Source organism: Homo sapiens, chromosome 2, assembly GCF_000001405.40.
Source record: "Homo sapiens chromosome 2, GRCh38.p14 Primary Assembly".
In the NCBI taxonomy this organism is placed as follows: domain Eukaryota; kingdom Metazoa; phylum Chordata; class Mammalia; order Primates; family Hominidae; genus Homo; species Homo sapiens.
In genome coordinates, this window is record NC_000002.12 from 47,057,211 (window position 1) to 47,081,564 (window position 24,354).

At 54.2% G+C, this 24,354-nt stretch overlaps 1 protein-coding gene across 14 annotated transcripts in view, besides 7 other annotated features; it reads left to right on the forward strand.

Annotated features, from left to right (window-relative positions):
• Positions 1-18,913, forward strand: part of TTC7A (tetratricopeptide repeat domain 7A) — a 160,258-nt gene extending 141,345 nt beyond the window's left edge. For 13 of the 14 annotated variants that reach the window (NM_001288953.2, XM_047445148.1, NM_001288951.2 and 10 more), the window contains 2 exons: positions 3,559-3,761; positions 16,492-18,913. In NM_001288953.2, coding sequence (NP_001275882.1) covers positions 3,559-3,761; positions 16,492-16,713 — 425 coding nt within the window. In that variant the 3' untranslated portion in view covers positions 16,714-18,913. Of the gene's footprint in view, positions 1-3,558; positions 3,762-16,491 lie in introns of those variants that run through there. The other variant, XR_007078570.1, reaches the window with a different exon arrangement.
• Positions 639-728: an enhancer, noted in NCBI's record as "active region_15721". NCBI's record gives its function as "activates an Ori minimal core promoter by ATAC-STARR-seq in GM12878 lymphoblastoid cells {active_cell/tissue: GM12878}" and the evidence as "EXISTENCE:reporter gene assay evidence [ECO:0000049][PMID:35858748]".
• Positions 9,178-9,736: an enhancer, noted in NCBI's record as "H3K27ac-H3K4me1 hESC enhancer chr2:47293527-47294085 (GRCh37/hg19 assembly coordinates)". NCBI's record gives its function as "activates a minimal SCP1, AML or CMV promoter by ChIP-STARR-seq in naive H9 embryonic stem cells {active_cell/tissue: H9 hESC(naive)}" and the evidence as "EXISTENCE:reporter gene assay evidence [ECO:0000049][PMID:30033119]".
• Positions 11,426-15,083: an enhancer, noted in NCBI's record as "VISTA enhancer hs1967". NCBI's record gives its function as "enhancer in: somite[9/9] | heart[8/9]" and the evidence as "EXISTENCE:transgenic organism evidence [ECO:0001131][PMID:17130149]".
• Positions 12,185-13,041: an enhancer, noted in NCBI's record as "H3K27ac-H3K4me1 hESC enhancer chr2:47296534-47297390 (GRCh37/hg19 assembly coordinates)". NCBI's record gives its function as "activates a minimal SCP1, AML or CMV promoter by ChIP-STARR-seq in primed H9 embryonic stem cells {active_cell/tissue: H9 hESC(primed)}" and the evidence as "EXISTENCE:reporter gene assay evidence [ECO:0000049][PMID:30033119]".
• Positions 13,898-14,755: an enhancer, noted in NCBI's record as "H3K27ac-H3K4me1 hESC enhancer chr2:47298247-47299104 (GRCh37/hg19 assembly coordinates)". NCBI's record gives its function as "activates a minimal SCP1, AML or CMV promoter by ChIP-STARR-seq in naive H9 embryonic stem cells {active_cell/tissue: H9 hESC(naive)}" and the evidence as "EXISTENCE:reporter gene assay evidence [ECO:0000049][PMID:30033119]".
• Positions 22,754-23,531: an enhancer, noted in NCBI's record as "H3K27ac-H3K4me1 hESC enhancer chr2:47307103-47307880 (GRCh37/hg19 assembly coordinates)". NCBI's record gives its function as "activates a minimal SCP1, AML or CMV promoter by ChIP-STARR-seq in primed H9 embryonic stem cells {active_cell/tissue: H9 hESC(primed)}" and the evidence as "EXISTENCE:reporter gene assay evidence [ECO:0000049][PMID:30033119]".
• Positions 23,532-24,307: an enhancer, noted in NCBI's record as "H3K4me1 hESC enhancer chr2:47307881-47308656 (GRCh37/hg19 assembly coordinates)". NCBI's record gives its function as "activates a minimal SCP1, AML or CMV promoter by ChIP-STARR-seq in primed H9 embryonic stem cells {active_cell/tissue: H9 hESC(primed)}" and the evidence as "EXISTENCE:reporter gene assay evidence [ECO:0000049][PMID:30033119]".

Genomic DNA, 24,354 nt, shown 5'->3' on the forward strand with positions numbered 1-24,354 from the left:
GGCCTACCCTGGAGGCTGGCCCTGCTGGGCACTGTCTGCCAGGCTGCCAGAAGCCTTCAGGAGGCTTCCCTGCTTGGGCTCTGGTCTGTGTCTTCTGGTTTCCTGTCTAACTGGGAATGGAGCCCATCAGTGGAGCAGCCCTAACGGTTCTTCAGGGCGTGCTCTCTGGTGTGTGGCCAGCCCAGCAAGGCCCTGGCCTCTGGAAGAACCAGGGCCCCGAGGCAAGAGGGATTGGGATTGGGTGGGGTACCCTCTAATTAAAATCTGTTGATGTGAATACACTATGAGGGGTCCCCAAGGGAGGGACAAGGGGCAGCCTCTGGAGACAGCGCAGCAAGTTGTAAACAGCTTAATCAGCTGTGCCAGGGCCAAGTAGACCAGGGGAGTGGGGAGCTTGACTCCTGGGCCCTCAGCTAAACTGAGCTTCTGGCGATGGAGGAAGCAGCCACCCTGCAAAAGTCACACCCACACACTTCCTTCTGCTTCTCCTCTCTCGTGACCCTGGGGGATTCTGCCACAGTGGAGCCCAGCCCATCTTCCTTGTCCTCTTAGTCCAAAGGCCTCTGCAGCCTTCAGGCTCCAGCTCCAATGCCTCCTCCCTCAGGAAGACTTCCCTGACCACACCAGCAGCATCGACCTAGCCCCTCTTGAGTGCCCATAACACTCAGATGTGGCACTTGTCATTCCACTGTCCTGGTCTCTGAAGTGGTTTAGTGGCTCAGCTGCTCCCACTCCTGTCCCCACTCTTTCTCCTCCTTGTGGGGAGACCAGGCACATAGTCAGTACTCAAAAGTTGTATGTTAAGCACTCAGTTATGAGGGCAGCCTGTTCAGATGCCCCAGCAGCAGCTCAACAGCAAAGCGGAGAGGGAGAGCTGAGGCTGAGAGAGCCAAATCTCTGACCCCTCCCCCTACCAGCCATCTGCCCCTGGGTTCAAAGACCCCATTTCCTCTGCTCTCTGCCTTGGGAATCTCCATTTCAGGCTGTCCCCAGGGACTAGAGCCCGCATTTCTCTCCCATATCCAGGAAGCCTGGCTTCTCTGTGTTTAATTCTCTGATCCTCCCAAGTTCTCATCTCCACTAGAGAAAAACCAGAGTCCTCTCACTCAGAAAGCGTTGTATTTTAGGATGTGGCAGGCTACTCGGGTTGCACAATGAACCTTAGGCAATGCTCGTGCTAAGTACCCCAGTGCCTGTGTTGCAGTCAAGGTTTTAGTTAGGCCTCTCCTGCTGCCTACTGGGACAGGAAGAGGGAATGTCTGGGCCTGGTTTCTCCACCTCTTTCTGGGAGCTTCCCTTGGGCATCTCTGTTCTCTATCCCACCCCAGACATAATCTGAACTAGGGTAACCTCAGCTGTCAGCTTTTGCTAGGCAGGGTTCTTGGCAAAACCACAAGTCAGACTCTGCTGGCCCTTCTGCGTTCCTCATCTGTGTCTTGATCCTTCTGTGCCTTCAGCATAGGCTCAGCCCCAGGAGTGGGCAGCCAAGCCTGGGGGCTGCTTTGGACAAAGGCTGAGTGCCCAGTGAGGCCGAAGAGCCGCGTCTCCTAAAGTGCCTACCGTGGGGTGTGCCTGTGCCACGTGGGTCTGAAATGTGTGTGTGTGGGGGCTGGCCTGGGTTGGAGAAACTGCCCCATTTCCTACTCCTCTGGTTGCAGGACAGATCCTCCCCTGCCTGCTGGCCCAAAGGGGTGTGTGTCTGCTTTGGAGGGAGGCCACAGAACTGCTTGGGAGTCCAGCCCTGGCTTTGCCCTTTCTCAGTGAGGGAATGGAGTGGGGTCCTCACCTCCTAAGCCTGCTTTTTTTTTTTTTTTTTTTTTTTTTTTTTTGAGATGGAGTCTCACTCTGTCGCCCAGGCTGGAGCACAGTGGCGCGATCGCAGCTCACCACAACCTCCGCCTCCCAGATTCAATGAACTCTCTGCCTCAGCCTCCCAAGTACCTGGGACCACAGGCACCCACCACCATGCCCAGCTAATTTTTTTGTATTTTTACTAGAGACGGGGTTTCACCATCCTGGCCAGGCTGGTCTTGAACTCCTGACCTCGTGATCTACCCGCCTTGGCCTCCCAAAGTGCTGGGACTACAGGCGTGAGCCTGTAGCCCAGCCACCTGCATTTTTTAAGTATGGATTATAGCACCTGCCTGCTTCCAAGACTTGCTGTCAGGATTAATGAGAAAATGTTTCCCAAACCTGGTGGGGCTTGGCCCATCAGCTCTCCATCAGGGCAGGGGTGGTTTCTGTAGCTGTTACCAACACTGCCTGGTTTGTGCCCTCCTTTGCCCCTGAGCTGCTTCTCCCTCATCCTCCCACCCCATCCTTGGCAGGGTCATTTGGTTCTCCCTGGCTCTGAGCACACGCCTACCTTCAGTCAGCCCCTGCCTGGGAGACCAAGGGGCCCAAAGAGAGATCCCTGGTCTGCTTCCATCCCCTTCTCCCTGGACATGCAATGAACAAAGTGAAGGAACACTGAAAAAGAGGCTGGAGTCACCTGAGCAAGCTCTTAGCTCAGGGGACGCCACATCCCCACGCGAGGTTCTGAAGTCAGACAGCCCAGTGCAAACCCTGTCTTCACCACTTACTCCCACTGTGGCCTTAGTCCCATGCCTTGACCCCTCTGTGCCCAGTTTTTGCCCCTCTAAAGTGGGGTAATAAAAGTACTTGTGCAAGGTGCGGTGGCTCATGCCTATAATCTCGGCATTTTGGGAGACTGAGGTGAGAGGATCTCTTGAGCCCAGGAGTTCAAGACCAGCCTGGGCAACATGGCGAAACCCCATCTCTACAAAAAAATACAAAAATTAGCTGGGCATGTTGGCACATGTCTGTAGTCCCAGCTACTCTGGAGACTGAGGTAGGAGGATTGCTTGAGCCCAAGAGGTCAAGGCTGCAGTGAGGCCAGGCACGGTGGCTCACGCTTGTAATCCTAGCATTTTGGGAGGCTAAGGTGGGCAGATCACTTGAGGCCAGGAGTTCGAGACCAGCCTGAGCCCCTCTACCAAAAATACAAAAATTAGCCAGGCGTGGTGGTGCGTGCCTGTAACCCCAGCTACTCAGGAGGCTGAGACAGGAAAATCACTTGAACCCAGGGGGCAGAGGTTACAGTGAGCTGAGATCGCGCCACTGCACTGCAGCCTGGACAACAGAGGGAAACTCTTTTTCTAAATAAATAAATTAATTTTTTTTAAAAAAAAGGCTGCAGTGAGCCATGGTCATACCAGTGCACTCCAGCCTGGGTAACAAAGGATACCCTGTCTCAAAAAAAACAAAAACAAACAAACAAAAAATGCTTGTTCTACAGGGTTTTTGTGAGCATTAACTGGGACGATCTTGGTGCCATTGACTGGCACTTAGCAAGGTGCCTGACACAGAGGAAGCACTCAGAAACCGTTACCTAGTGTTCCCACTACATCCTATAGTCAGTGTGTCCCATGCTGTGATTTGGTGGGATAGAGTTTGTCACCTAAGACTAGTTCCCTGGCTCTGAGGATGCAGGGAGGGGGTCAGGATGCCTCTGACTCCCCACCACTCACACCTCCCACTGCCCTTCTGCTTTTGCAGCTGAGCTGTTCATGGAGCAGCAGCACCTCAAGGAAGCAGGTTTCTGCATCCAGGAGGCGGCGGGCCTCTTCCCCACTTCTCACTCAGTACTCTATATGCGGGGCCGGCTGGCTGAGGTGAAGGGCAACCTGGAGGAGGCCAAGCAGCTGTACAAGGAGGCGCTCACGGTGAACCCAGATGGCGTGCGCATCATGCATAGCCTGGTGAGTCAGAGCCCCCCGCGCTCCCACCACCTCCTCCCACAGCCTCAGGGCCCTTATCCCGCTTTGTCCCTCCTTGTCCCCATACTCCACTGCCTGCCTGTGCCTTGCTACTGCTGTTCCCTGGTGTCTAGGGGAGGGGGCTTCCCTCCTGCTCTGTTGGAAGAGACAGTTCTTGGGATACTTAGCCTTCTCTTGTAGACACAGGCCATTTCCCTTCAATCAGGGTCTGTGTTGATGACAAAATCTAGAAGGTTTGGTTGATACTCTTTGTGACTTCCTTTTGCTGTAGGGTTCCGCAAAGGGATCTAGCCCCAAAAGGCTCTCATTGTTAACCATCAGACCCTTGCCCTGAAGGCTAATCCAGACTCTAGGTGGTTACCAAAATGCTTTTCTTTCTGGGAGTCCCCAGACCCTCCCTGTCTCCTCCATTTCCAAGGAGTTCCACATCTCTTTGGTGGGATTCAGGGGGTTTTCTGGGGTGGGCTGTCATGTCAGACCTGTCTCAAGCACACACTGAGAATGGTCCCTGGGGTGCTAAGAGGATCCAGTAGCCCCTGGTCCTCATTCATGGGCTCAGGACTTGGGTGTCCAGGGCACAGTGGCCTCCCTGTGGGAAGCTCAGAGGCTGGGGAGCAGGATGCTGATACTCTTGTCCTGGCCTTACCTCTACCTGGTGATCATGGGTAAATCAGCCACCTTCTCTGAACCTTAGTTTTAATTATCTGTCCGGTGGATATCCTCTGGTCCAGGCAACATTTATTGAGCACCAGCTCTGACAGGTGATATACTAGACCCTATAGATTATCATTTTTTCCTGCTTTCCTTTGCTGCTTCCAGAGAACATGTATCCGGATAAATATAGTGATCTGGAAGCTTGCAAGCCTGCATCTGCACAAGTGATTTTTGAAGGATAATCTAGGAGCCCACAGTTAGCAACAATCTTTCCCTCTTAGGGTCTGGGTTCCACCTTGGATGTCCCCCCTGTGAGAGAGTGTTAAGGAGAACAGCCATTAGGGTATCCCTGACGTCTTCTGGCACGTAGAGAGCACAGAGGCATCAGGAGAATGGCTCCAGATGGCTGAAGAGTTGGCATTGCCAAAAGGGGGCTGATTTGTCCGTGAGGAGAAGCTACAGGGAGTTAGATTTCAGCCATGTCAGGGAAAACGTTATAACTCCTAGCATAGTCTAGGCACATACTCAGTAATCATCTGGTGAGAGTGTTGCCGAGAGAATGCAACGTCATGGGGAGGAGCCAGACCAGGTCATCTTCATCAGGTCCTTTCCAACCTGACAGTCCTTGAAAAGGAAATACAAAAGAAATTCCCAGCTCAGCTATTACTCCCGCTGCCTGATTTCTATAGATTTCTAACTTAGGTCTGTGTGAATGTTCAGCCTCAAATGAAGAAAGCCCGTGCAGCCACCATACACCCTTGTCCATGTTCCTTCCCACATGGCTGCATTGCCTTCCAGTCAGCTCAGCAAATGTTTGCTTTCTGCAAGAGGCTTCCTCCTTCCTCCCTCAATTTAGACATTAGCTTCTTTGATAAATGCCTCGCCAGAGGTCACATCCAGAAACTTGATTAGGGCAGTGGGAGGGAGGGTGTGGGCTATATCATTGGGCCTGCAGCCAGGCAGAGATGTCTGCCTTCCACTGTGTTCACGGATATAAGCCTGCAGGCTCAGCCCTGAAAACCCAACAGAATCCAATAACAAGTACAATTTGGAAGTAACAGTGTACCATTTTTCATTTATGCTTATTATTGTTTGTAGCTATTTTCCTGAAATTGAAGCAGTTTCCAAGGGTAGGTTTCCATGGTTACTGAATAGCCATCCAGAGTGGCTCCCTGCAGATGTTTCTGAAATGGTCCCTTTTTCCTTCCTGGGGTGCCTTGCTGATTTGATGAAATTAGAGCAAGTCAGAGCCAGGCCTGCCCTCTTTTAAAGTTACAAGCAACCAGAGGGGCAGTCGGCTTCTGCGTGGGCAGCCCATCCCGTCTACAGGCTCTGTTCCTGCCAGCATCCCACACATATGCATAAAGAATAGCAAATGTTCAGCCTGGGGAAGATTTGCTAAGCGCTCATTTTCTAAAGACATTTGAACACTTTAGTGAGTCGATCTCAAGTGTTCACAGATCTAAGTGTCTTCCCTGTGCTGGCCTGAGGCTCAGGACATCTGGGATCTAATCCTGGCTCTGGCCCTGATCCACTTGGGGGACTTAGGAAAAGACACATTTAACTTGCATGCTCCTGGTGTCCCCTTTTGTACATAATAATCCTCGTTCCTGGGCCATAGTGTTGTTCTAATCAAATGAGGTGATGCATGTGAAAGTGTAAATATGTGCAGTGCAATCCCAGAGACGGCAAAGCACAGCATGGAGTATCTCACCCCCCTTCAGTCCCTCACCAGTGTCAGACATTGCTAAGCAGTCACAGCACCTTTTTCCCACTGAGCAAAGATGTGATCTTGGAATCTTTTTCAACGTGAAACAACATGATAGGAACTACTAGCTGTCATTCTAGGTCAGTTTCACATTTATGTAAGGGATTCATTGTAAAAATAGTAGAGGAAAGATGTCCATCAGTCATCTGAGCCTTTGTGAACTCTGGAGGTTGGTACAGCCTTAGATAATTACCAAGAGAGGAATGTGGAAGGTATCCCTGCTGTGGAGTCAGGGCAGGCCCCCAGGGAGGACACTCTGGCCTTACCATGCCACTGTGACTTTATGAGGACGTTGGCCTCTGATCAGTACAAGGGGAAGGAGAGCCTTCCCTCCCCTGAGGGCACAGCCACCCACAAGCCTGGGCTGGAGCGAGCCCTCTGAGGTCGTGGGTGAGTCCCACTCCCTGAGGTCTGGAAAGTGGTCGGTGGAGGTATTCTTAGTGTGCTGTGTGGGTGCTGGGTTTGGCCCTGTAGTCCTTGGAGTGGGATTGGCAAGTGCCAAGAGGCTGAAGAAAGCCCACTGGGAGTTGAAGACTTTGCTCTTAGGGGCTGGGGACCCCATGTTTCTAAGAATATAAGTTTTGGCCAAGAGCAGATTCTCTACTCTCCCTGTCCCCCTGTCGGTGCCCTAGATGCAATAAGGGATGTTTCTGTGGTTCTAGCCCTGCTCTGGGTTCAGCTTAGGGTTTTCTACCCAGACCAGGCAGGAAGGAGATGCCACCTTGGCAGTTCTCTGCTAGGCAAGAGAACCAGCGGAATTTGTCCCAAGTTTGTCCATCAGGCTCTGGTCCTGCTGGCTGCCGTCTGTGCCAGGCTCAAGGATGGCCAGGGGCCTCCGGGAAACTGGCAAGTGTAGAAAGAAAAAGAAGTGTGCTCTCTGCAGTGGAAATGAAATCACAGGAGCAGGTCCTGACAGTCTGCCAGTGTGGTCCCAGACTTCTCTCCAGTAGCTGGAAATCCCACTCAGCTGGGGTATTCAGAACTGAATTCACTGGCAGAAAATTCTAGCCAAGAAGGGGAAGACTGAACTTTGCCTGCCTGCCAATGGGGAAACGTGAGAAGGAAGGCAGAGGCCCTCCCAGAATGCGCAGGAGTCGCTGGTTGACACTGCTCTTCAGAGAGGGCTTCAAGGCTTGCCCAGGAAGGGACCCCCGGCAGCCTGCACTCCTCTTGGAGCTTATCTCTGCTCTGCCACCTCCCTGGATCCCCTCTGCACCAGGCACTTCCAAGGGCAGAAGAGGTACCTGAGGAAACCAGGGAGTCCCAACAGTGACTGGTGGAATGGTTGGGTCATTGAGAGCCCTCCCAGGAAGGGGGTTCCTTTGAAGTCACCTGACCTTCATGGTGGGAGGGTCATTGGTTGGTCATGAAGCTGAGATTAGAGCACCTCAGGGAATGACTGGCTTGACTTGGTTTCCCAGTGTAAGGAAGGAAAAAACAATTTTCCCTCTACCTTTCTGAGTTCTTAGCTGGGACCTTGGTAACAGGAGACAGATTAACAAGGAAAAACAAACAGAACTTTATTAACATGTATAAAATGTATTCATGGGAGATACTCAGGGAAAACGAGAAAAGCTTAAAGAAGTAGCTTAGAGGCCCAGCTCAGTGGCTCACGCCTGTAATCCCAGCAGTTTGGGAGGCCGAGGCGGGCGGATCACGAGGTCAGGAGATCGAGACCATCCTGGCTAACACGGTGAAACCCCATCTCTACTAAAAATACAAAAAATTAGCCGGGCGTGGTGGTGGGCGCCTGTAGTCCCAGCTACTCGGGAATCTGAGGCAGGAGAATGGCGTGAACCTGGGAGGCGGAGCTTGCAATGAGCCAAGATCACGCCACTGCACTCCAGCCTGGGTGACAGAGCGAGACTCCGTCTCAAAAAGGAAAAAAATGAGGTAGCTTAGAACTGTGGCTTACATAGCATTTTCAACCAAGAGCATACAATTTAAAAGAAGCAATGAGACAAAGAAAAAGGACTTGGAGTCTCTGGGGATGGCAAATTGTGGGAAGACAAATCAATGGGAAACTAATGGTAGACAAAGGCCAGTTAGCAGCGCTTGTTATGTAGATTCCTTTGTGCCATCTCCAGGCTGATAAGGTTCTAACGTTGTCTTCTGTGATCAACCTTTGTCCTTCCTGGTTGAGAGGGGAGGAGGAACACCCTTATAAATTTATATCCTGCTTTTAGGCAAATAGGGGGAGGGCAGAGAGCTTTTCTTTTCTCTGCTTCTTCTCAGTTGCCTTCAGCTCAAAACAGTCCTTACGCCCAAGTGACATATTTGGGGGTGGCATGTTCTGCTATCCTTCAGCAGCCCCTGAAGAAGGTCCTAGCCCTGGCCACAGAGCCACCCACTCTCCCTGCCCTCAGCTTGGCTAAGGAGAGTGTGGACACTTTGGTGCAGCTTGTCTGCACTGCAAGAGACAACTTGACACCCTCAAGCATGAGTGGACAAGCGAGGTGTCTGGGTGGCACTCTGCCCTCTTCTCCCAGGGGCAGACTCTGGAGAGGAGGAGTTTCCTGGTCCCTCCCCTTCCCCAGCCCCTCCCCTCCTCATGCTTTCTTCTTGGTGAGGGAGCTCCAGGCTCTCCAGAACCTCTCCCTGTCAGGCACCCCAGCAGTAGTGGGGAGATGGCTCTGCATGAGCTTTGGCTAATTTGGTAATTCCTGGGATGCAGTTACTGAAGCATTCCTGGCATGTGACCCAGCTTCTTCTCTCCCCAAATGCCCCTGGAAAGACAGGAAGACAGTGTTGTTATCTGCATTCCTCTTGATGACAGAGTGACGATGAATGATTTCCCTTTATTGGTTCCCTCTTGCTGCCAGTGTGGAGCAGGCCGCCTCATTCTTTAAGTGGGTTTGCAGGATCAAGAGCGTGGGTATGGCCTCAGAGCCTCTCATCCCTCACCCCAGGCTGTGGCATGAGGGGGCACATCTTAAATCCCCAGAAGCTCCCTACTGCCACCCCTGGTACCTCCCAAGGCGGGACCTGAGTCACTGAGGGCCAGAGCTCTGCCCATCCAAGCCCAGAGCCTTTTTAGGTGCTCTGGGACTCTAACAAGAAGGCTCTGGTCTCTAAGGCCAAAAGGATGAACTCTCTGGCCACACAGAGCTTCACCCATCACCCCCTCCGCCTGCTGGCTGGCCCTCTCCCCCATCATGGAGGGTTGGACCAGATATGAGAGGTGACAAACCTAAGACAAGCAGCCCTGCGTTATGGGGGCGCTTGAGGGTTACTTTCCTCACTGGGTGTCTCAGTCCATTTTGTGTTGCTGTAACAGAATATCTGAGGCTGGGTAATTTATTATTATATTTTGTTTTTATTTTTTGTAGAGACAAGGTCTCACTATGTTGCCCAGGTTAGTCTTGAACTCCTGGGCTCAAGGAATCCTTCCGCCTCAGCCTCCAAAAGTGCTGGGATTACAGGCATGAGCCACCATGTGTGGCCTTTTTAAAAAATATATTTTTTATAGTAATTTACAATAAGCAGAAACTTTTTATTTGGCTCACAGTTCTGGAGGCTGAGAAGTCAAAGATCGAGGGGCACATCTGGCGAGGGCCTTCTTGCTGCCTCATCCCATGGCGGAAGGTGGAGGGGCAAGAGAGTGTGAGAGAAGGGGAAGCCGAACTCATCCTTTTACCAGGAACCCCCTCCCAAGATAACAGCATCAATCCATTCAGGAGGGCAAAGCCCGCCTGACCTCATCACCTCTTAAAGGTCTCACACTTCAATTCTGCTGATTGAGGCTTAAGTTGCTAACACATGAATTTTGGGGGACACATTCAATCCATAGCACTGGCTCAGTTTTTTCTGCTATCAAATTGGGATGATAATCTAGACTCTCTTGTGACTTCAAGGAGCAGTTTTAGGGCTCAGGTGAACTGAAAGCTGTGAAAAGATAAGTCAACGTTGGGCATTTTTATCACTATATTCACATAGATGACTTGGTGGCACGTGGCCTGAGCCTGAGCCCCACCTGGGACCAGGCTGGTTTCTGTTGGACCATTCTTAGTGTGGGATGAGGGTCTTTGGCCCACATTTCCTTGTGATGCCAGCAGGGTGCTGAGAAGACAGGGAGGGAGTGCCTGGCAGAGACAGGGACCTCCAAGATGCCTTCGAGGTTCTCCTACGGTTGGTTGGCTGGGATGGTTTTTAAAATGAGTATCAGAGCTGGCTCTGGAGGAGGCACCTGCAGGTTGGAGCAGGGCCTTCAAGTTCATCTGACCTGGACCTGAGTCCCACTTTGCCTTCACTCACTGACCAGGTTCTGTAACCTCTCAGAACTTCAGTGTTCTCATCTGTAAAACGAGGCTTGCTATACCAAGCACCTAGGGCTGTTGTTAGAATTAGGTTAAATAATTCCATAAGTTAGTGGCCCAGTCATTGGGATTATTTTTATGTTTTTCACTTTGAAGCATAGCTGCCGGGCCATGTTCAGATGCTCTTGGTTCTCGGGGGGGAGTGGAAACCTGGTGCCAAGCCCCAAAGACTCATTGCAGTAAAGCCACTCCGTCCTCTCTGAGTCCACAGGGGAAGCTGGCCAAGGTCACAGACCCTAGCTGCCTTGTGGACAGGACAAGAGTGCACACAGTGCAAGGCCCAGCCTGACCTTAGCTACGGGGAGGGCAGCCTGCTTTGCGGGGGAGAATGAGCTGAGGGACGAGGGAGATACCTTGGGTAATCTGTGCCCGTTGGGGCAGAGGCTCTGTGGTGGCAGGCTCCGGGGAGGCCCTGACCTACCGCCATGCCGGTTCAGCATCTGTTTTCTGACTTGAAGGAGGAAGGATGTGCCGAGCAGCTGAGGAATGACACTCAGTGCCTGGCATTTTGGAGGTGCCCTGACACTGGGTGGGGCTCAGTGCACAAACAGCAGGGTACCGGGTTCCTGGGGCCAGTGGCCTCTGCTGCTTATGCCCCATGTCTCAGGGTCCAGGACGCACCACCAGCTCTAGGCTTCTTTCTCTGTGTTCATTTCCGGAGCTGTGGCAGGTGGCTTAGAGGGGTCTAGGCCATGAGAGGACATGGAATCTTGCTTCTGCTTGGCAGGAAAGTTCAATAGGAGCGTCTTGGCTCTGTGACCTCTGATGAGATGATTTTATTGTGAGCTTTCTGTTCACCCCTCGCCAGTGCTGCCTGAGGTCACATTCCCTGATGGGAAAGTAGAGGAGACGAAAGTAGAGGGTTCTGCAGGCCCATGGTGTGGGGGGTATGAGGGTGTGTCCCCCAGCACCTGCTCAGTGGGGATCAGAGGCCCCTCCCTACCCACCTTATCCCTGGGCTGGCACAGCCCCACACACACACCCTGAGCCCTGGCTCAGGACTCTGGGAAAACCTTAAGCTGATATAGGCTCCTGAAGTCCATCACCAACCCTGATGAGGAAGCCTGTCATAGATTCAGATCAGAATGATACTTGAGCACTGCTGGCTTAATTAAGCTCCAGAATCAATTTTTTCAAAAAAAAAAAAAAAAAAAAAAAAAGAAAGACTCACCCTACATGGAGAGAGAAGGTAATGCGGCCCTTTCTCCCTGTCCAGCAGCCCCCTCCCCAAACTGTCCTTTACTGTGCCTTTGGCTGTACCTCCTGCCCAGAGAGGGGACCTTCTGTGACTGGGCCCCCTTCTCACTCCCCATCACGGGGACTCACTTCTAGAACCCGGGATCCAGAGGCCTAGCCACAGCCTCTTGACTGACCTGGAGGGCTGGGCCAGGCAGTGCTCCAGGATGGGTAGAGGCCCCTACAGACCTAGAACCTGATACCAGCCCAGGAAGGGGAGGAGAAAAGGCCCAGCCACTGGCCAGAGGAGACGGCTGGCAAGGAAGTCAATTTCTTGGAGGTTCGTCAGGCTGCAGAGTCCCCCAGGATGTGACCCATCGGGCCCCTGGCCGCTGGTCCCTGCCCCTCTGAAAACAGACAACCCTTAGCCCCAGCTGAAGAGGCCTACTGGTGTTCTTCTACATCTCACTTGTAAAGGACCCCAGAAGAGAAAGGGACAGGTACTCACTACCCCAGGAGACCCCCACCTAGGTTGGGCTCCTTGTGAGTCTGGGCTCTTCTCAGCAGGAGCCTCTTCTTTTGAGGCCCAGGGGGCTCTGGGGTGAACACATCCCACCCCAGCACTGGGTGGGGCTGGAAGGGTTTGCTCCCCTCCCCACATCAGGGAAGTAGGACCCTGTGGCTTTGGAGCTGCCCTGGCTCCAGGAGGCCTGTGGTGATGGGAGTGGGAGGTTTTCAGCCTGGAGAGGCGCCTCCCTCCCTCCCGTTCCAGGTCTGGTTGGACAGGTTGAGGCTGACACACCTGAGAGAATCCGGAATGCCAGAGAGCCTGGAGCTGGGCTGGAATGCCAGCCTCCCTGGAAGGGTGTGTCTATGTTCCAGGGTGGCGTTAGGGAGGGCCCTTTCTGTAGAGCAGGCTCCTCCCAGCAGCCCTGGTGTCCCCAAACGCAGGCTCCAGGGACCAGAAGGCTCCTGCAGCTTCCAGCTGATTCCTGGCTTCCCAGCTGGAAAGGCTGTTACAGAATCCCAGGAATGTGCCCTGAGCTCAGAAAGAAAATTCCCAAAATAACTTCTATAAATACTTGAGGGCAGGGGTGGGGAGGGAGGGCTCAGCCTGGCCCACAGCTGGCCTAGCGCCAAGGCTGCTTCCCAGGGCAGGCCCCCCTCAAAGGAAGAAGAAGCATGCACACCCCTAGACCTTTGTGCTGCTCTGCCCTTGGAGGGCATCATCAGGCACTGAACTTATGGGCTGGGATGGTGTGCAGTGGAATTCTGAAAAGGCAAGGCCCTTTTCCCCTCATCCCCTCCCAGGCCACAGCCCCTGGCCACACACTGTGCCTCTGCAGATGACCTGGGTCCCACAGGGAGGCTCCCCACTGAGTGTGAGCCCAGACCCTAGCAAGACCTTAGGCCCCTTAGGTTCTGCACCTGCGTGGCCGTAAGAGGCAGGGCTTGCCAAGCTCCACGTGGGCAGCATCCCTGATCGGAGGTCCACATCTGTGTGTGTGTGGGTGTCTCTGGGTTCCCTGGCTCTGCATTTGGGCTACATCCTGAGCTCTGAGCCTTGTTGAGCTGCTGTCCTTTGGGGAATAACAAAGCAGGCAGGAGGCTGGGGCGCTGTCCCTCTCAGCCTGGGGAGGGGCAGGACAGGGATCACATCCATGAGCCCCACAGTAACTAAGCGTGACCTTGAGGCGGTTGTGTGGTCAGGAGGAGCTCCGCCCTCAGGGAAGGCTTCCTGGGAGAGCAGAGTCTCGAGCACTTGAGATGTGGCCACACATCCCCACTCCCTGAGATCCAGGAAGGGAGAGAAGGAGGGTCCTGAGGTGGGAATTTCTGGGGACTTCCCCCAGAGCCCTGCACCTCCCTGGAATCATGTCTGTGGCTATAACCAGCCCAAAGCGCCCCCTTGGAGGTACGATGTCTGATCACCATAAACAACTTGGACATCACTTTCGAATCCCTGTGGGCTGGCAGCACAGCCATGGCATCTCCCAAGGGACGGTCAAAAACTGGAAGCCTCTCAGCAGATCTGGTCTCCTCTCTCAGCGTGGGGCACATCCTCACCAGGATGAGGGATGGGGGATTCACTTGGGACATTTGGATGAAATTGAGATGTCAGTTCTTGTTCCCACCATCTCCCAGGAGGCCTGTTCTCTGGGAGGGTCGGGGTGCCAGGAGGATTGTCTGCAGGTCCTAGGTGCAGCGCTGGGCTCAGGGCAGAGTAGGTGAGACCTCGCATCTTCCTGGGGCTGTGTCTTGCCCAGTTGTCAGGCAGCAAACAGCGCTGAGTTGCTACCAAACATGAACTCGGCTGGTGTCAGGGGCAGGTGGCAGAAGATCCTGTTACAGGCCCTGGGCCTCTGGGCCCCAGCCTGACCCCAGCCTGGTGTCTCCTTTCAGGTTCTAAGGTCAACATCCCAGGGTGGGGGGACATGAGCCAACCCACCCTAGCCTACAGTCCTCCCCCACAGAGAGCCATGCCCTCTCCCAGCTTCTAGAGAGATCAGTCACTCCACCCGCTCCCCACCTGGAAGGACCCTCTGCTCATCTTGAAGGCGCTGCTGTTTGCTGTCTGCCCCCGCGGTGATTTTTCAAGTTGATCATTGCAGAATCCTCACAAGAGCCCCGCGAGGAAGGACTGTTTCATTGCTTTGGTTTACAGATGAGGAAACCACAGCTCAGAGAAAGTTGGCCATTTGCCCGTGGTCACAGCACTTGTCAGTGGCAGAGCTGGGATTCCAACCTGGCCAGGGCTTCCGGCCAGCAAGCCCTGAGCTTTTTCCTCCCTACAGACACACACAGGAAGTTACTGCAAACCTCCGAAACTGAGAATACACACACACACACCAGCCTGCAGACACATCTGGCCCCTTCCCAAACACCCACATACTTCTTGATATCAGGGGTTTTCAGACTTGTTTTTAGCAGTTGAGCCCATTTTTCAAACAGAATCCCATGTGGAAGCTCAATATAGAAAACTTAACGTGTGGAAGCCACTCCGGCCCTGGCCCTCTCTGGGAGGCCTTGCCGGCCTTTCCCTTCTGTCCTGTGTGGCTCCCTCCTGGGCAGAACTCACAGGGCTCAAACCCTCCATTTTTGGTGCTTAATTTTGTGTCTGGCGGCCCGTCGGCTGGCCTCCTTCCCTCCTCCCTGTGGGCCGTGTTCCATTGTGAGCTGCTGGGGTCTGGCCCTTGGGTCTGGTGTGGGTGGAACAGCTAGGCCTGGTGCCCTGCTGGCCAGCCTGGCCACTACCCTTGGTCCCAGGCAGCCCTGAGTCAGCACCGCTCCCATCTGGCGAGAGCGTAAGACCCTGCCTGAGGCTCCACCCCGCCTGCAGCCACCCTGTCCTCCCCTGGCCTCTGCACGCCTCATCCGTGTGTGTGGTTCCTTGCTACGGCTTTGCCCAGGGCTGACAGAGGCGCTGTGAGGACAGCCTCTTCCTCCCCCGCCCCCTGGCCGCAAGATCTCCAGCCAGCGCCTCTGGAGAGGGAGAGGCCTTTCCTAGGGCTTCCTGAGCGCCATCTTTCACTCCCACCGAACTGGTTGTGTTCCAAGCTCTCCGAGGACTTGATGAAACCAGGCATGCGCATCTTCCCCAGCGCGTCTCCATAGCAACAGAGGGCCTAACTCTGGGGAGCTCGCTGAGGAGGAAAATGTTCCAGCTAAAAATGTACATGGCCGTCAGTGGGCGGGCACCGGAGAGGGGGCTCCAGGCACATAGAAGGCAGCTCCCCACCCCCACTGCGGCCCCCGCCTGTCCAGGAAGTCGGTGGTGGGCTTTACCTCCCGTCTTGGAACAAGAGAAGGGCCCCCCGTGCTGTCATCTCATGCCACCCTCAGGGCTGAAACAGGGATCAGTGGGACGGCATGAAGCAACCTTTGTGGGACCTGAGGCTGAAAGGGGGCCCTGCCCTCTCCCTCCACTCACTACCCTGTCCACCCTACCCACTTCCCAGTGTGGGTAGAAGAGGATGTAGAGGGGACAAGGTGCCAGTTTCACTTCCCAGCCTCTTCTTATGACTATTCCTGTTAGTTCCTCTATCTCTTTGGTAACAGGGTTGTTTGAGCCAAACAGCAGGGCCAAGCTTCCCTGTGCGTGACCCAGACCCCCCAGGCCTTTCATCTTTCAGCCAATCCAGCCCGTTCACCCAGCACCCCATCCCCCGCCATCTGACTCTCCTCCCATGACCCTCTCCTGAGGAGCCACCGCACACGCACACGTTTGAGCTTTTCCTCCCTGGTGGCAGTGGTGAAGGCCTGTAATGCGTCCTCCTCCGTCTCTCTGCGTCCCTGGAGTGAAGGGCAGCTCTGGGCAGCAGGAAGGACTGAGACGCATGGCCCCACTGAGTGAGAACACACTCCTGCCAGACACTTCTCAGAGCTTTACACCTCCTGACTCCTTTCAACCTCACCGCGCTCTCGAGAGAGATGCTGTGATTTTTCCCATTTACAGATGAGGAAACTGAGGGCCAGAGAGCTGGGATTTGCCTAGGATCCCCCAAACAGTGTGACACAGCCAGGTCTGTTGACTTGAAAGCCAGTTCCTCGGGACCGGCAGGAACAGAGCTCCTGCAGTGGGTTTCCCAGGAGGCTGGGGTTAAAGCAGGGCTTGGGCAGGGCCAGGTAGGATTTGTATGGGGAAAGGCACAGTCACTTAACAGTGCCCAAGCCAGAGACGCGGGAATCCTCTCGAGCTGATGGCTGCTGCCACCCGTGCACCTGTGCTTGGCCCAGTTGCCAAGATGCCTGTGCCATGGGACACCCCTACTCACCCTGCCCTGTGCTTCGTCCACAGGGTCTGATGCTGAGTCGGCTGGGCCACAAGAGCTTGGCCCAGAAGGTGCTTCGTGATGCCGTGGAGAGGCAGAGTACGTGCCACGAGGCGTGGCAGGGCCTGGGCGAGGTGCTGCAGGCCCAGGGCCAGAACGAGGCTGCCGTTGACTGCTTCCTCACCGCCCTTGAGCTGGAGGCCAGCAGCCCTGTACTGCCCTTCTCCATCATCCCCAGAGAGCTCTGACGACGCTGCAGCCGCAGGGAGGGAGGGGCTGGCCAGAGGGAGAGGCAGCAGGGAACGTGGGTCAGGGTGGGGCAACAGTGGCATCAGGTGCGGGGCCTCAGGGAAATACATCTTTAGTGAACGCCTCTGCAGCTGCAGCCCTCGTTCTCTTGGCTGGGCCAAGAGGGCCTTCCTGGATTTCTTTGTTGGTGCCTTGGGAAACAGTCTGACTTGAACCCTAAGTGCCTTTGGAGAGTTTTGTGGTGACCAGACTTGCTCCCCAAGAGCTGGGCAGCGGGGAGCCTCACAGCTGTCCTTCACCCTCACCCATGCCTCTGGCTTGGAGTCTGGGTGGGGGGTTCTCACTCCCCACTCTCAGCACAGTACAGACTTCTGGATCTCTCTCAGGTCTTGCCCAGGGCGGTCACAATGTGAAGAAACTGCGGGCAAGTGGGAAGACTATGAGATTTCTGGGTTCCCTTCTCAGACTTGGAGTTAGTAGATGATTCCTGCATTGCCCCTGCTTGCCCTCTGAGACCAGCTGGGCCCCACCTTGCTCTTTCCCCCTGCTACCAAGTGCCTTTGGGGTCTGACCAGGGGTACTGAGCACCGGCCCTAACACTTCCATCTCCACCCACCCCATCTCCCTGGCGATGTGCTCCAGCCCAAGCAGCCTCCGTAGGCTTTAGATCCTGTGGTTGCTAGATCCAGTCCTTTCTAATACCCTGAGTCAACACATTACTCCTGCAGGTCTTAGGCTACAATGCAGGTCCCTTGAGGGCCACCAACATGGAGGTAGGCAGTTTCTAGGACTGTCCCCAGTACATCTCACCACCCACAGCCCTTTTTTTGCCTTGATTCGAGCCTCACCCTGGCCTTTTGGCTTCCCCTGCCTGAGAGAGACCTGAGGAGGGGACAGAGCCCAGCCCCTCTCCTGTGGCTGAGCAGGCCTCTGTGTCCATGACACCTGTCTTCCGGGCCTGGGGGCTGTGGGTGTATGTCCTCCCTACTGGCTTCCCCGGCCCCTGCTGCATGATGCTCTTGGAACTCTTCTCCAAGGAGTCAGTCCCCCAGGCCTATCAGGGGATCCTTTTGTATCTGCACTTTGGGTTTTAGTTTCAAAGCTCCATCAGGTACAGCTTGCATTTCAGGATGTGTGGAAAGCTCGGGTGAGGGCTGCCCTGGTTCATCATAGCTCCACCTTCCTCGGAAGGAGTGGGCTGTTGGAGACCCCCCATCCATGGCACACTAGCTCAGCACTGCATTTCCCGAGATGATTCCCAAGACAGCTGGTGCCTCCTGGCTTTCCTGTGCCAGGCCAAGGGGCACCACAGAGGACCCTGGATCCTTTGCCTCTTCTTGGTTGAAGGATCTCTATGTATGTGTGTATATAAATATAGTTTTTTATCTATATATATAAAATAGAGATCTATTTTTTTTCTGGAATTCTGTTAGAAAAGTAAAGAAAAAGCAAATGCTGTTGGTTTATCTCAGGGTGCCCAAAGTGGTTATAGTCAATTTTTGGTACTAGGAAAGGCACCCAATGCATTTCCTGACTTTTAAGCATTTCCTTGTTGGAAGCAGCAGAGGGCCAGGCCAAGTTGCTGACAGTGACTTTGCAGGTTGAATAAAGAAACCCTTGGAGGGGAAGCAGGCTTGTCTGAAGCAGCATGTATATTCACTGGGCATGTAGCTCCCACACCAGCCTTGAGCCAGGCCCTGGACAGGAGGGGCTGTTGCAGGATGAGGGAGGCCAGAGAAGGCATCGAAGCCAAGACCTGGGCCCACCTGGGGAGGGATGTGGGAAAGGAAGGATGGGAGGGAGGACCCTCTGGGAAAATGTGGATTTGAGCTGGTGAGAGTGTTGCTAAGGCTGGGCTAAAGCCTGGAGAGGGTAGGAGGAGGCAAGAGGGGTCCAGGCAGGGCTGATCCTGGCCTCTGACCTGTCCAGGGCGACCCCTGAAGCCCCTGCTGCCTCTGGGCATTGCTGGGAGAGGCCAAGGCAGGACTCACGTCTGAACAGAGATCCCCTCGGGCATTGCTGATGGGCCACCTTCAGCTGCAGGGAAGAAGCCTAGGAGAGGAGGCATGGGAGGGACCTGGGCCTTGTTCAGATTGGCCACCTCTGCTGAGAAGTCCATACCAGTACACCCCTAATAAGTTATGCCACATACCAACGTACTGTGGATATTATAACCTGCATTAAAACAACTCTAAAGAACGCTGCTCATTTACACAGAAGCTCTGTTTCTTCCTGTACCCCAGGGGGTCACCATAGCACCCCCAAGGCTGCAGCCACCTCATTTTGAAGACAGCTGCCCTGAGGCTTCCCCTCAAACCCAGGGCTGTTCTTGGCCGTCTGGACTCTTCCCTCTTGCCGCGCCTCCCGGCGGCCTGGCCTCCCCCAGTGCCCACCCTCCGCGCCACGCTCAGCCAGACATTGCTGTCCCCATAAGGAAGGGCTTTGCTTGCAGCCTTTGGGTGCCCAGCTTCTCTTGCTGTGGCCTTATTTTAAGGTAACACATTTACAAGCTTGAGTGATTGAACACTTGGTATCAAACTTCTTGTCATGTACCCTAACCCCCAGCTGATGGCCTCCTTGGGCGAGAAGTACAGGCCACCTTAGGTGGCAGGGGGTGTCTGCCAGCCTGGGGGAGAGGCTTAGAAACTCATCCTGCCGGGAGGGGAATGGAGGGAATGTGGAAGGAGGGAAGGCTCTGCCTTCCTCTTCTGACGGGAACAGGGTTTCCCAAGCTGACCTTAAGTTGGTCGAATGTTGGAGAGTCACGCAGCGGTGGAGACCTGCTCAGGGCCCCAGGCACTGCCTTACCCCATTTGCCCATCTGCAGGCCCTGTGCTCACAAAGAAACCCTCACTGGAGAGTGAGGCACCTGGCTCCTGTGTCTAAACACACCATGCTGGGACCAGGGTTAGAGTCTGGGGACAGACCTCAGACTGCCTCTCACCCCCTCAGACTTCCACCCACGTGCCACTTTCCAGGACACAGCTCCCACTTGTGCACTTACATATGAATAGTGTTTCCTGCAGGCACAAATATGAATGGCATTTCAGCCGCCACCACCCAGACTCCTTTCTGGTACCAAAGTGCTCATTGTTGCACTCCTATCCCCCACCCAGCACTCAGATGTCGTCACTGTGCAAATATTTCTTGGGCTTGGGAAGCCTCTGACTAACCAAACCTCCCCATCCGCCTAGACTTTGATGATGACCCACGGGCAGGGAGCCTCATGCCTAAGTGGCCTGTGAAACTGACCCATGAGGTACTGATCCAAAGGATCCTGAGAGGTCAGGGAGTTCCTGACTCGAAAGGATCCCCCCACCACCCGTCCCCTGCCAGAAACTTCTTAGAATTTTCATCAAGCTCTTTCAGTTGCAAAGAACAGAGACACCCTGAAGGTAACTCAAAAGATAAGAGGGAGCTCACTGGAGCCCTAGGGCAGGAAATGGAGTGCCCAGGCCTGGGGCCAAAGCAGCCACACACCGTGAAGGAGACAGCAGGGTGACACTGCAGTCACCAGTCTGAGCTTGAAGGTGCAGCTCTACCACTACGAGCTGTGTGGCCTTGAGCAAGTTTCTTAATCTCTCTTCAGCCGTTTCTTCATCTGTACAATAAGAATGGTGGTATAGTGCCTGCTCTGTGGATTATGATTAAGTGATCCTAGAACAGTGCCTGGCCCATAGTAATTGCTCAATACACATCAGCAATTATCACTCAATACACGTGAGCAATTATCTTCTCTGCCTTTGCTGGCTCCACCCTCCTCTTCCCGCTACTGACTTCACGGAGAGGTGCTGCTCCCCTAGAACCATATTCAACACTGCCCTGGCCCTCCAGCCCCACTCCTGACTGACCTACCACCTACAGCACTTTGGCCACTCCCCTCCTAATGGCTAAATCTTGAACGAGAGGATCTGATTGGTCCCACTCATATTTCCATGGGTCACTAGGCAGCCCGCAGACTGATTTTCCTTGGATAGGTGCCTTCTCTTGATCCAATCAGCTATGACCAGGAGCCATGGGCCTCAGGACACATACGGCTGCTTTTGCAGCTGGAGTGCTAAGTGGGCAATGCCCTGGGCCCTTCTGGTCCCCTGCCTGTGTCAGCCCATCACGCCATGCCATGTCCTTTCTGGGCAATGGGTACAATGCAGGTCCCTCTAGAGAGGGCAGACAACAGAACACAGCCCCTTAAACACCCTCCTTTCTCCTTCGCATCATCATCACCTTAGGGTCCATCCATGGAGGGGCTCCTGTCCTGCTTCTGGTCTTGGAATGAAGATGACAATGGGAATAGTAACATGCCTCCTGCACTGTACTGCTAATACGATGCTTCACTTACCAGTGAACTCTCTTCTAATCACTCCTTTGATTGGGAACCTCTCCAATCGACAACCTTGGGAGGTGGGTTTTGTCCCCAAGAAAGGTGAAGAGATCACGGGGCCTCCACTCTCAGTGACTTGGTACAGGGCAGGGCCTGGGAGCACAGGGCCTTGCCCTTGGAAGACACTGTGTAGTGCCGCCTCACCCATTCTGGGCAGAGGCAGGAGCCTCCCCAAATCGCCGGAGCAGAAGGACCCCTCTGGGATCCATGGAAATTCGCATCACCAGGAGTCCTCTACGGGAGTGCCCAGGAGAGGAAGATACATGGGTCCAGGGGCCTCTTGGGTGCCCGGAACCCCCACTTGCCAGCCCCGCCCCACCACCAGCTTCGCCCCACTGGCTGCAGAGGAATGACAGTGCTCTGCGATGCCTACTACCCCAGCTCCTCTGCAGTGGGAGTAGAGGACCCTTAAGCAGCGGTCACACAAGAGGCTGGACATTGCCCCAAATAGGGTGTTCAGAAGATGCCCGAAAGCATGGGCAGCCATGGGAACTGCGTTGGGTCGTGGGGCCCCACGATCCTAACCACTCGCTGATGGCATCGTGGCTGGGTTCCAGAACCAGTATGTCCCCCATGGGCTGGCCCACAGCCTCAGAGATGCTGACACCCCCACATAGGGGCCCCCAACACAGGTGGGGGCTGTCATTGTTCTCTTGTTCTTGTTCCCGCTCACCCTCAGTCTCTCACTCTCTTAACTGTCTCTGGAATTTGGCAAGAAGTCCTTGTGGACTTCTTTAAAAACACGTATCATTGTTTCTTGAACCATTTGAGAACAGGTTGCATAAATGGTGCCCTGTTCCCCTTAATACTTCAGTGTGTGTTTACCAAGAACAAAGGTCATCCCTGTATCTAACCACAGCAGAGTTAACAAATAGGACATTCAACACTGCCACTGTGCTCTTATCTAATCCACCACCCCTATTTCAGGTTAGGCACTAGTTTTCCTTAGAGTGTTCTTCTCCAGCTCAGGGTCACACCCTCCATTTTACAGCCAGCTCCTTCTGCTCCTCTAATCTGGAAGAGCTCCTCCTCCTCTCCCTTTGCCTTTTGTGATGCTGACATTGCCGAAGGCTGCAGTGGCCTGGCCTCTGCAGTGTGACAGTGAGGTAGGCAGAGGGAAGCGGGGGCGGGGGGGCAGCAGGGGGGGCCAGGGGGAGCAGAGGCTAGAAAGCAGCTGAAGCCAAGGGGCTGAGAGAATGGAGAATCATTGATTGGTAGGAGCTAGAAGATAAAAGCAAAACTGAAGGGCAGGTGAATCTCTGTGCAGGCAGAGCTCTGGAAACAAAAGAAATGGCCACCTACTTGCAAGGTGCATAGAGATGATGGAAACACTGGAGCTCCATTCCGTCCTGAATGAGCTTTCCAACTCCTGCGGCCTAACTGCGGGCAAGAGTCCCATCTGCCTCCTCTCCTTATACGGTGGCCCCCATGAAGACTGGAGGGACCCTGAGTGTGAGTGTGTCTGTTCCTGGCAGCCCTGCACATCCCCAGAGAGAGGCTCACTCTGCTTCCCTGCACCATCAGACAAGCGGAAGCGGGACATGTTGCAGAACTTCACCGATTGCTTTTGTCTGTGGCACCCACACCCACTCAGAGAGCACATGTGCCAAGCTGGGAATGGGGCAGGCATGGGAGACTTCCTGAAGAGCAGCAGCTCTGACCCCTGAGGTGGGGCCCATCCCCACGTGAAGGTCAGGAGCACAGACGGTCTCCCCAAGGGTGCACACAGCTGAGCAGTCTCCTGCCACCCTGACTGTGATCTCTCATTTCAGCCTGGGCCCAGAAGGAAGAGGCCATTGCAAGCTTCCTCTCTCTTGTCTGTGCCAGGCCTGAGCCATCTCAGGAGCACACAGCTCACTCCCCAGCCCCCACGCAAGGGCCAGGGCTCAGTGGCTGTAGTGGTGGCATCCTGCCCAGCACACACACTCCCCCCCTAAGAACACCCACGCCAAGGGTACAGGGCCTGGTGCAAGCTGGGCTGAGCCCACAGAGGCCCCTCCTGTCCTGGGGGAGCTAGGAGAAGGGCTGGGTGCTCTCTCCCATGCAGAGAACTTTCTGAGCTGGGAGCCCCACCCTTCTAGGTGCTTGTCTTCTTTCCTTTCTCTTCTTTCTTCCTTCCTTCCTTCCTTCCTTCACTTGTTTCTCTCCCTTTCCTTTCCTTCCCTTTCCTTTCTTCTCTCTCCCTCTCTTTCTTTCTTTCTTCTTTTTTTTTTTTTTGGAGACAGAGTCTCGCCCTGTCTCCCAGGCTGGAGTGCAATGGCGTGATCTCAGCTCATTGCAACCTCTACCTCCTGGGTTCAAGTGATTCTCCTGCCTCTGCCTCCCGAGTAGCTGGGAGCCACCCTCCACCATGCCTGGCTAATTTTTTGTATTTTTAGTAGAGACAGGATTTCACTATTTTGGCCAGGCTAGTCTCGAACTCCCGACCTCAAGTGATCCGCCGGCCTCAGCCTCCCAAAGTGTTGGGATTACAGGCATGAGCCACTGCACCCAGCCTTTCCTCTTTTCTTTTCCAGTCCATCAGGCCTCCTGTGGCCTCAAAGAGCCATGCCTCCCATGCCCACCCCACACCCTGCAAGACGCCTTTCCAGAATGCCCACTCCTTGCTTGTGCCTTGTCCTTTAAGATCCTTCCCACGCCTTCTAGAAGTCCTCTGCCAACTGCCTCCCACCTTACGGGGCCCTTATGCTTTGGCAGAACACCCAGAGGCCAGCACAGCCCTGTGGGTTCTGCTTCTTGGGTTGGACCCCCACATTCCACATACCCGGGCTCAGCCACACGTGTGGGTGCCCCCATGAATGGAACGCCAAGCTGGGTCCCAGGAGGCGCCCCTGTGGCTGGGAGGCTTGAGGTACAAATGTGGAGTGAGGCCGCCATGTCCCCACCCACAGGCTGACCTTGGCCTTCTCTCTCTGCCCAGATGGACTTGCCCAAGCCATGCACCATCCCAGCTCTGTACCCTGGTGGTGTCTGGGAGGGGACTTTACACAGAAGCACAGCCCTCCTGAGCCTATTGTGGCTGTTCAAGGGCCTGTAATTGGTCCCAAAGTCATTATATTTTCTTAATAAAGTTCTACATATGTTTAATCCTATTCTATAAATTACTTTATAAATATGCATCTTTACATTAGGATCTTCTGGGACACACGGGCCATTGAACACAATTTTCAGAACTTTCATATTCATGTCTATGAAGATATTTCAGATAAAGCACTTTAAAAAGTCTTGAATAATGTGGCCACCAGAGATTTTATCTGGA